This window comes from Homo sapiens, chromosome 19 (assembly GCF_000001405.40).
Source record: "Homo sapiens chromosome 19, GRCh38.p14 Primary Assembly".
NCBI lineage: Eukaryota > Metazoa > Chordata > Mammalia > Primates > Hominidae > Homo > Homo sapiens.
Genome location: NC_000019.10, coordinates 3,124,239 through 3,136,032, shown reverse-complemented (window position 1 = coordinate 3,136,032; position 11,794 = coordinate 3,124,239). Strand labels below are relative to the sequence as shown.

At 49.3% G+C, this 11,794-nt stretch overlaps 1 long non-coding RNA gene and 1 pseudogene across 1 annotated transcript; one reads left to right on the top strand and one right to left on the bottom strand.

The window, feature by feature from the left end:
* RPL35P10 (ribosomal protein L35 pseudogene 10) lies at positions 4,596–5,363 on the bottom strand (annotated as a pseudogene).
* Positions 9,402–11,721, top strand: LOC124904615 (uncharacterized). Its single transcript, XR_007067092.1, has 3 exons — positions 9,402–10,425; positions 10,566–11,435; positions 11,625–11,721. It is a non-coding gene; the product is annotated as an uncharacterized LOC124904615 (long non-coding RNA).

The following is an 11,794-nucleotide window of genomic DNA, read 5'->3' as shown; positions in this document are numbered from 1 at the left end:
GGAGAAGGGGCGGATTCTCCTCAGGCTTCACCCGGAGCTGTCCCCCTCCTCGGAGCCAATCAGGAACCGTCAGACCCGTGCTACTGCTGATACATTATATATATATCATATATATATGTGTGTGTATATATATATATGTGTATATATATATATATATATATATATATATATATATATATATATATATATTTTTTTTTTTTTTTTTGAGACAGAGTTTCACTCTTATTGCCCAGGCTGGAGTGCAGTGGCAGGATCTTGACTCTGCAACATCTGCCTCCCAGGTTCAAGCAATTCTCCTGCCTCAGCCTCTCGAGTAGCTGGGATTACAGGCATCCACCACCACGCCGGGCTAACTTTGGATTTTTAGTAGAGAAAGGGTTCCACCACGTTGGCCAGGCTGGTCTCAAACTCCTGACCTCAGGTGATCCACCCGCCTCGGCCTCCCAAAGTGCTGGGATTGCAGGCATAAACCACCACGCTCGGCCCTTCTGATATATTTTTAAGAAACAGCTCAGGCCAGGTGTCATGGACTGTTTCCAGCGACTCTGCCCTGACCTCAGGTGATCCACCCTGCAGAGGTGGGCAGCTTGCCTGAGGTCAGGAGTTCGAAACCAGCCTGGCCAACATGGCGAAACCCTGTCTCTACTAAAGATACAAAAATTAGCCGGGTTTTGGCTCACATTAGCTGGTTTTACACTCACATCACCCTGTATAGTTACTACTGTCATCCCTGTTTGACTGATGAGGAGGTTGAGGCATAGAGCAGGGGAGTGACCGGTGGGGCTGGCACAAGGCAGAGCCGGGAGCCTATCCCTCACCTGCGGGGCCCCAGAGTCTAGACGCCTACCAGGCAGATTCCAGGCAGGGCCATCCCTTCATTGTGCGTGCATTCATGGAGCGCCAACTGTGTGCCAGGCACGGTAGCCAAGAGACACAGATCCCAGACCTCCTTACCTAAGGTTCTAGTTAAAGAACAGATAATAAAATAAATTTTAGGCTGGGCCTGGTGGCTCACGCATGTAATCCCTATACTTTGGGAGGCCAAGGCGGGCAGATCACAAAGTCAAGAAATCGAGACCAGCCTGGCCAACACGGCGAAACCCCGTCTCTACTAAAAATACAAAAATTAGCCGGGCGTGGTGGTGCACGCCTGTAGTCCCACCTACTTGGGAGGCTGAGGCAAGAGAATCGCTTGAACCCGGGAGGCAGAGGTGGCAGTGAGCTGAGATCGTGCCACTGCACTCCAGCCTGGCGACGAAGTGAGACTCCATCTCAAAAAAAATAAAAAATAAAAGAATAAAAAATTTGGCCAGGTGAGTGCGGGAGCTCACATCTGTAATCAAAGTACTTTGGGAGGCCGAGGCAGGAGGATCACTTGAAGTCAGGAGTTTGAGACCAGCCTGGCCAACATGGAGAAACTCCATCTCTACTAATACAAAAATTAGTTGGGCATGTTGGCACGCACCAGTAGTCCCAGCTACTTGGGAGGCTGAGGCAAGGGAATCACTTGAACCCCGAAGATGGAGGCTGCAGTGAGCCGAGATCATAACACTGCTCTCCAGCCTGGGCAACATAGTGAAACCCTGTCTCCAGAAACAAACAAAACAAAACTCTCCCTCTCTCTCTATGTATATATATACACACACACACATACATATATATACACATACATATATATACACAATATATAGACACACATACATATATGTATATACACATACATATATACACATACATATATATACACAATATATAGACACACATACATATATACACATACATATATACACACATAAAAGTATACATTTTAATATACATATATGTATATTATACATAAAAATATATATGTGTGTATATATATACACACACGTGTAAAATATATATATTTTTTAATACACCTGAGCCCGTTGGATGGTGAAAAATTCTGCCAGAAAAATTAAGCAGAGATGTTGTTGGGGAAGGTTCAAGGTCATTGCTCTAAATGGATCAACAAAGGTCGCACAGACAAGTGATATTCAGGATCAGAAGTCAGACAGGCAGATCGGGTGTAAGAGGGACTTTGGGAGTGGACCTCACTGGTCAAGGAGATCTTCCCAATGAGTGCCATGAGGCCGCCCTGACCTGATCCCTCTGGGACTTCAGGGCCCTAGGGGTGGGCTGGTGGCTGGCAGCTTGGTAGAAACGTTGCTGCTTCCTAGGTACTCAGAGCCAGAGTGTTTGGGTGAAGATTCCCCACCCCCATTGACAGGCTGTAGAAAATTCTAGAAAGTTCTGGATCAAAACTCTCCTCCCCAAGAGATACACGTAATTCTTGTACTTCGGGGGCCTCTGGTCCCTTTACAGATAGGGCAAGGCACAGAGAGGGCGAATTACGTGCCCAGGGCCACACAGCCATTGGCAGCCACCGTCCCCACCTCCTCCCAGACACCAGGGCTCGGTGACAGCCGTTGACGCAGCTTCACCAGCTCAGCACAAACGTGTGGTTTTCTCCACTGTTGATTCATAACGAATGACAGATGGGAAGTACGATAGGGGCCCCCATCTGGTCACTGGGGCTGGCAGGTGCCATCTGCCCACCCAGCCACCCACCTTCCCGCCCCCAACCGGATAGCAGCAACGAGGGGCAGTCCCACCCAGGACAGGCAAAGAAACGCAGAAATAGGTCATGGCCGTGCAGATCTTCCAGGATGGTTGAAACAGAAATGACCAGCAAAACTGGGAGACGAGGCTGAGCCACAGGCCCCACAGGGTGAGCCCAGGGGGCCACTCTCCTAGCATCTCCCTGCGGCATTTTTGGACAGGATACCAGCACCCGCCATCTTCACAGCCTGGACCAGGGTGGCAGACCCTCTGTGGCTCCCGCTGGCTTCAGAATTAATGAGCCGGCTCCCTGGATCCAGGGCCCAGGCTCTGCCCACTTCTCCAGCTGCTGAACAAACCTCCCTTGCGGTTCCCTAAACGGGCTGAGCTACTTCCTTGCCACATGCTGAGCATTTGTCGTGTATTATTAGCTCAGCTGGGAACACCAGGGTGAGCTTGTGTGTGTAGAAAATATTTCTTTCAGAAAACACATAAAACCTGAATGTATTACCTAATAAATTGTTGTGAAGCCGGTATCCACAGAATCCACTGAGGCCAAGACTAAGGACATTTTCAGGCCGGGCGCGGTGTCTCACGCCTGTCATCCCAGCACTTTGGGAGGCCAAGGTGGGCAGATCACCTGAGGTCAGGAGTTCAAGACCAGCCTGGACAACATGGTGAAACCCCGTCTCTACTAAAAATAGAAAAGTTAGCCAGGTGTGATGGTGCACACCTGTAATCCCAGCTACTCGGGAGGCCGGGGGAGGAGTATTGCTTGAGCCTGGGAGGTGGAGGTTGCAGTGAGCTGAGATCGTGCCACTGCACTCCAGCCTGGGTGACAAGCAAGACTCTGTCTCAAAAAAAAAAAAAAAAAGACCTTAGCCCCACAAAGACCCCTAGTGTTTTCCTCATAGTAATCTCTACCTTCCCAGCAGTAACTATCATTCTGACTTCTGTGGTATTAATATTTATTTCCGGGTTTGGGGGGTATTTTTTGCTAATAAGATCTATTTCAGCTGGGCATGTTGGCTCATGCCTATAATCTCAGCACTTTGGGAGGCTGAAGTGGGAGGATTGCTTGACCCCAGGAGTTCAAGACCAGCCTGGGCAACATAGTGAGACTCTATCTCTTTTTTTCTTTTTTCTTTCTTTCTTTCTTTTTTTTTTTTTTTTTTTTTTTTGAGACGGTGTTTTGTTATTGTTGCCCAGGCTGGAGTGCAATGGCTCGGTCTCAGCTCACTGCAACCTCCACCTTCCCAGTGAGACCCCATTTCTAAAAAATAAAATAAAATAAATTAGCCGGGGGTGGTGGCTCATGCCTGTGGTCCCAGGTACTCCAGAGGCTAAGGTGGGAGGATTGCTTAGGCCAGAGAGGTTGAGGCTGCAGTGAGCTATGATTGACCCACTGCACTCCAGCCTGGGTTGACAGAGCAAGGGTCTGTCCCCCCCAAAAAAAGATCTTGTTTTTAATTGTCTAAATTTATGTAGCATTGTATTTACTTTCTTTGGTGTATGGTTCTATGAGTTTATTTATTTATTTATTTATTTATTTATTTATTGAGACGGAGTCTGTCTCTGTCACCCAGGCTGGAGTGCAGTGGCACGATCTCGGCTCACTGCAAGCTGAGCCTCCCGGGTTCACGCCATTCTGCTGCCTCAGCCTCCCGAATAGCTGGGACTACAGGTGCCCACCACCACGCCGGGCTAATTTTTTTTGTATTTTAGTAGAGACGGGGTTTCACCATGTTGTCCAGACTGGTCTCGATCTCCTGACGTCGTGATCCGCCCGCCTCGGCCTCCCAAAGTGCTGGGATTACAGGCGTGAGCCACCGCGCCCGGCCTGGTTTCTATGAGTTTTAACAGCTGTAGAGATTCGTGTAAATTACTGCTATAAACAGGATACAGAATGTAGTTCCATCACCGGAACAACTCCCTCCTGACCGTGGATTGGCTCTTTGTGGCTGTGTTTTTTGTTTGTTTGTTTGTTTTGGTGTTTTTTTTTTTGTTTTTTTTTTTCTCAGCCAGCTGTGCTTTATTGACAACGCGCCACTCGGGCCTTGACCGCGCACTTCCGCACTGGGGACAGCTGCTCGCTCTGCTGCTGCTTCTTGATCGTCAGGTTCTCCTCGTGCTTGCTGAGCGGGCGGCGCACGGCGCGTGTCTTCTTAGGCCGCAGGTGCAGGTGCTTGTACTTCTTGCCCTTGTAGAATTTCCCGAGGTTTTCTTTCTGAGTCTGGTTAATAACCGTGAGAACACGGGCAATGGATTTGCGGACGACTCGGATCTTTTTTTTTTTTTTTTTTTTTTTTTTTTTTTGAGACAGAGTCTCCCTCTGTCGCCCAGGCAGAAGCGCAATGGCGAGATCTCGGCTCTCTGCAAGCTCCGCCTCCCGGGTTCACCCCATCCTCCTGCCTCAGCCTCCCGAGTGAGTAGCTGGGATTACAGCCGCCCGCCACCACGCCCGGCTAATTTTTTTGTATTTTTAGTAGAGACGGGGTTTCGCTGTGTTAGCCAGGATGGTATCGATCTCCTGACCTCGTGATCCGCCCGCCTCGGCCTCCCTAGAGTGCTGGGATTACAGGCGTGAGCCACCGCGCCCGGATCTTAGGGAGCTTGGAGGCCGCGCCGCCCGTCACTTTGGCGACGCGCAGCTGGGACAGCTCCACCTTTAGGTCGTCCAGCTGTTTCAGCAGCTCCTCCTCCTTCTTCCCGAGAAGGTCTTGGGCCTTGATCCTGGCCGTTGCTGCACAGGCCGCCGCCCCCGCTCGCTCCGAGGGAAATAGCTGTTGCTATGTTTTTTATTTTATTTTTTGAGACAAGGCCCTTCTCTCTCGCCTAGGCTGGAGTGCAGTGGTGCAATCATGGCTTACTGCAGCCTTGACCTCCTGGGTTCAAGCGATCTTCCCACCTTAGCCTTCCGAGTACTGCGCACCACCACCATCTAATGTTTTTTTTTTTTTTTTTTTTTGAGACAGAGTCTCACTCTGTCGCCCAGGTTAGAGTGCAGTGGCACGATCTCAGCTCACTGCAAGCTCTACCTCCCAGGTTCAAGCAATTCTTCTGCCTCAGCCTCCCGAGTAGCTGGGATTACAGGTGCGAGCCGCCGTGCCCGCCTAATTTTTGTATTTTTAGTAGAGACAAAGTTTCCGCCCTGTTGGCCAGGCTGGTCTTGAACTCCTGGCCTCAAGTGATCCACCTATCTCAGCCTCCCAAAATGCTGGGATTACAGGCGGATGCCACCGCGCCCGGCCCTAATTTTTTTATTTTTGTAGAGATGGGTTTCTCTGTGTTGCCTAGGCTGCTCAGGAGCTCCTGGCCTCCCAGCTCAGCCTCTCAAAACGTTGGGATTACAGGCGTGAGCCACCGCACCTGGTCCAGAAAGTAGCTTTTGAGACTGGCTTCTTTCAGTTAGCATTTGCGATTCCTCTGTGTTGCCGAGTGTATCAGAAGTTCGTTGCTTTGGATGGTCCAGTGGTATTTCCCTGTGTGGATGCATTCCCCTTTATCCAACCGTGAGGGGCATTTGGTTGCTTCCAGTTTGAGGTGATCATGAACAGAGCTGCTATATACATTTGTGTACATATTTTTTTCTTTTTTTTCTTTTCTTTTCTTTTTTTTTTTTTTTGAGACAGCGTTTTGCTCTTGTTGCCCAGGCTAGAGTGTAATGGCGTGATCTTGGCTCATTGCAACCTCCCCCTTCCATGTTCAAGTGATTCTCCTGCCTCAGCCTCCCGAGTAGCTGGAATTACAGGCATGTGCCACCACGCCCAGCTAATTTTTGTAGTTTTAGTAGAGACGGGGGTTTCACCATGTTGGCCAGGCTGGTCTTGAACTCTTGACCTCAGGTGATCCACCCACCTCAGCCTCCCAAAGTGCTGGGATTACAGGCATGAGACACCACACCTGGCCAATAGTATTTTTGTTGTTGTTGTTTAGCTGTGGTTTGTTACAGATGCCCTTTATCAGGTTGAGGAAGTTCCTTTCTACTCCTAATTTGCTTAGAATTTTTATCATGAATGAAAGTTGAATTGTATCAAATGTATTTTCTTTATCTATTGATATGATCATGTAGTTTTTCTTTCGTCTGTTAATATGGCAAGTTATATTGACTGATTTTCCAATGTTGAGCTTGTCTTGTATTCCTGGGATAAATGCCACCTGGTGGTGAGGTGGTTTTCTTTCTGTATATCACTGGATTTCATTATTTCACTTGCTAATATTTTGTTAAGGATTTTAGTATCTATGTTTTTGAGTATACTGATCTGTAATTTCCCTGTACTGTCTTTAATTTTGGTATCAGGATAATACTGGCCTCTTAAAATGAGTTGGGAAGTATTCCATCCTCTTCTATTTTCTGAAACAGATTGTGAAGAATTTGATGTTATTTTTTCTTTAAATGTTTGATAGGATTCACCACTAAAACCATCTGGGCCTAAAGTTTTATTTTATTTTTCATTTTTTATTGTTGTTGTTGTTTGAGACAGAGTCTCGCTCTGTCACCCAGGCTGGAGTGCAGTGGCATGATCTTGGCTCACTGCAAGCTCTGCCTCCCGGGTTCACGCCATTCTCCTATATCAACCTCCCAAATAGCTGGGACTACAGGCACCCACCACCATGCCCAGCTAATTTTTTCGTATTTTTAGTAGAGACGAGGTTTCACCGCGTTAGCCGGAATGGTCTTGATCTCCTGACCTCGTGATCCACCCGCCTTAGCCTCCCAAATGTTTTATTCTTTAGAAGACTTTAACTTCAAATTCTGTTTCTTTAATACGTATAGGACTGTTCAGGTTTTCTGTTTCTTCCTGAGTGAGTTTTGGTAGCTTGTGTCTCTCGAGAAATTGGTCCATTTCCTTTAAGTTGTCAAATTTATGTGCATACACTTATTTGTAGTATTCCCTTATTATCCTTTAAATTTCTTTAGGGTGAGTAATGATATCCCCTCCTTTGTGCCTGTTGCTGGTAATTTCTTTTTCTCTCTGGAGGGTGAATCTAGACTAAAGGTTTATCAATTTCATTAATTTTTTTCAAAGAACCAGCTTATGGCTTTATTGATTTTTCTATACTGTTTTTCTATTTTTTATTCCATTGATTTCTATTCTATTATTTTCTCTTTAGTTTGTGTTTAGTTTGCTCTTCTCTTTCTAATTTCTTGGGAGTAGAAGCTTAAAATATTAGACCTTTCAGGCCAGGCGCAGTGGCTCACAGCTGTAATCCCAAAAATTTGGGAAGCTGAGGCAGGTGGATCACCTGAGGTCAGGAGTTCAAGACCAGCCTGGACAACATGGAGAAACCCTGTCACTACTAAAATACAAAAATTAGCCAGATGTGGTGGCAGGTGCCTGTAATTCCAGCTACTCAGGAGGCTGAGACAGGAGAATCACTTGAACCTGGGAGGCAGAGGTTGCAGTAAGCCGAGATTGCACCATTGCACTCCAGCCTGAGCAACAGAGCAAGACTCCATCTCAAAAAAAAAAAAAAAAAAAAAATCCTCAAAATCATGGTGAATTTTTGCCAGTTTTGAACTTTATGCACACAGAATTACATAAAATGAGTTCAGGTACATCTGGCTTCTATCATTCCACGTGATGTTTGTGTGATTAACTCATATTGTGTACATGGTTGTGGTTCATTAATCCTGATTGTCATAGACTATTCCTCTGGATAAATAAACTACAATCTATTCATCCATTCTACTGTTGATGGGCATTTGGTTAAATTTTAGTTTGGGGCTGTAATGAATAGGGCAGCTATGGGCATTTGGTACATGTCTTTTGTGATTATATGTGTGGCTTTCTGTAGGTAAATACCCAATGGTAGAATTGCTGGGTTATAAAGTATTTCCTAGATATTAACTATCTTTTGCCAAAGTGCATGCACCAATTTACACTTCCAATAACTCTAAGATTTTGCTTTTTTTTTTTTTTTTTGACACAGAGTCTCACCCTGTTGCCCAGGCTGGAGTGCAGTGGTGCGATCTTGGCTCACTGCAAGCTCTGCCTCCCCGGTCCATGCCATTCTCCTGCCTCAGCCTCCCAAGTAGCTGGGACTACAGGCACCCGCCACCACACCCGGCTAATTTTTTGTATTTTTAGCAGAGACCGGGTTTCATAGTGTTAGTCAGGATGGTCTCAATCTCCTGACCTCGTGATCCGCCCGCCTCGGCTTCCCAAAGTGCTGGGATTACAGGCGTGAGCCACCACTCCCAGCCACCTTTTTTTTTAGAGAAAGTTTCACTCTGTCACCCAGGCTGGAGTGCAATGACACGATCTTGGCTCACTGAAACCTCTGCCTCCCGGGTTCAAGCGATTCTCCTGCCTCAACCTCCTGAGTAGCTGGGACTACAGGCGCCCGCCACCACACCCAGCTAATTTTTGTATTTTTGGTAGAGACGGAGTTTCACCTTGTTGACCAGGCTGGTCTCGAACTCCTGACCTCAAGTGATCCACCCACCTCAGCCTCCCAAAATGCTGGGATTAGAGGCGTGAGCCACCACGCCCGACTAATTTTTGTATTTTTAGTAGAGATGGGTATGAGCCACTGCACCTGGCCTATTTGTTTATTTATTTATCTTGAGGAGTCTCACTTCTTCGCCCAGGCTAGAGTGCAGTGGCATCATCTCGGCTCACTGCTACCTTTGCCTCCCAGGTTCAAACGATCATTGTGCCTCAGCCTCCCAAGTAGCTGGGACTACAGGCATGCGCCACCACACCCGGCTAATTTTTTGAATTTTAAGTAGAGACGAGGTTTCGCTATGTAGGCCAGGCTGGTCTTGAACTCCAGACCTCAAACGATCCGCCCGCCTCGGCCTCCCAAAGTGCTGGAATAACAGGCATGAGCCACTGCACCCGGCCTCCTCGGAATTTTTAAACAGGGACCCTGTGTTTTCATTTTGCTCCGGGTCCTATGGATTCTGCGGGGGGTGCTGGAGCTGCCTGCCCAGCTGAACAGGCTAGGGCTGTTGTCAGGACCTAGGAAGGACTGGCCAGCCGTCAGGGCAAGCTGCCTCAGGCAAGACGCTCACCCTCTGTGCCTCGGTTTTCCTTTTAGGATGGGCAGGGGGCTAGGGGCAGGCAAGGAGCTGTCTGGGGCGACTCCTGCTGGCCACTGGGGGCACTATATGCACCTGCGATATCCATGCCGGGCCCAGCTCCCCCCAGCACTCAACGCCCCTTAGCTGACTCACCCACCTCTGCTTCTGCCATCTGATCCACACCTATCATTGCCACCTGCACCAGCCTTGTCCCCTGGCTCCCGCCCTCACCCGTCTGTCCTCCCAGCAGCAGCCACCAGAGGCCGCCTGTGAGCACCTGTCAGGTCCTGTCTCTGCTCTGCCTGCGTCCCTCCAGGGCTCCCACCTCCCTCTGAGGGTAAAAGACCAACCCTCCCTGCCCTCCCCCCCTCCCTCCGCTCCAACCACACGGGCCTCCTCGCTGCTCCTCCAACACATCAGGCATGGTCCTGCCCCAGGACCTTTGCACAAGCTGTGCCTCTGCCTGGCTCACCCTCAGGCCACAGCATGGCTCCTTCCCTTCCTGTCTCCCAGGATGCTACTCACGCACCACTTTATCAGGCTTTTCCTGTACAGCCCACCAGGAACAGCCCACCAGAATCAGCCACCATTGGCTGGGCGCTGTGGCTCACGCCTATAATCCCAGCACTTTGGGAGGCCAAGGCGGGCGGATCACCAGAGGTCAGGAGTTTGAGACAAGCCTGGCCAACATGGTGAAACCCCGTCTCTACTAAAAGTACAAAAATTAGCCGGGTGTGGTGGTGGGCGCCTGTAGTCCCAGCTACTCGGGAGGCTGAGGGAGGAGAATCGCTTGAACCCAGGAGGCAGAGGTTGAGGTGAGCTGAGACCGCACCACTGCACTCCAGCCTGGGTGACAGAGCTAGACCCCAACTCAAAAAAAAAAAAAAAGAAAAGAAAAGCAACAGCCACCATCTCCCCATCCTGTCCCACTTCCCTGCTCCATTTCTCTTCCTAGGTGAAGTCGTGCTGGTAAGTGCCACCTTCTCTGCTGCACTGTAGTATCTGGGGCAGCATCGGGCACAGCAAGGGGCCTTAAGCCTGACGGACAGGCCTATCGGACTCAATGAAACTGAAAGAGGATGTGGGGAAATCGCACCCTTGTGCACAGCTGGCGGGATGTGACATGGCACAGCTGCTGTGGAAAAGTCGGGCAGCTCCCCAAAAAATTAAAATAGAGGCCGGGCGCGGTGGTCCACGCCTGTAATCCCAGCACTTTGAGAGGCCGAGGTGGGAGGATCATGAGGTCAAGATGGAGACCATCCTGGCCAACATGGTGAAACCCCATCTCTACTAAAAATACAAAAATTAGCCGGGCGTGATGGCAGGCACCTGTAGTCCCAGCTACTCAGGAGGCTGAGGCAGGAGAATTGGTTGAACCCGGGAGGTGGAGGCTGCAGTGAGCCGAGATCGCGCCACTGCATTCCAGCCTGGCGACAGAGCGAGACTCCTCAAGGTGCATCCAAAAAAAGAAAGACCAGAGGACCCAGCAATGCTACCTCTGGATGCACACACACGAGGACAGACAGGAGGGACTCAAACAGAAGCTTGCACACGCAGGTGCACAGCGGCACGACTGCCAACAGCCACAAGGTGGAAACCACCCAGACGTCCATCGATGATAGATGGATCAACACAGCGTGGCCCATCCACACAGTGGAATATTACTGAACCACGAAAAGGAAGGGAATCCGGACATGGGCTTCAGCGTGGATGCACCTTGAGGACATCATGCTCAGTGAGAGATGCCAGAGACACAGAAGGACACACCCCGCATGGTTCCACTCCTAGGAGGTCCATAGAGCTGTCAGATTCAGGGAGACAAAAGGTAGGATGGGGGGTGCCAGGGGCTGGGGAGGGGGACGGGGAGTGTTTCATGGGGACAGAGTTTCAATTTGGGGAGATACAAGTTCTGGAGAGGATGGTGGTGATGGCTGCACAACCGTGTGGATACACTTAATGCCGCTGAGCTGTGCACTTAGAAATTTATCTGTATTTTACAATTTTTTTTCAAAAGGAAAAAATAACTGAAGGAAGGCTGCAGAGGTCCCACATCCGCAGCTTACAGAAACGGAGGCCCGGAGGGCATGATGTCCCCACAGGTGCCCTGGAAGGTGAGGGGCAGGCTGGCCTGGGACCTGGGCTCCTCCCCGTCTCACTCCCTTGTCCCCAGCCCCCAAACAAGGT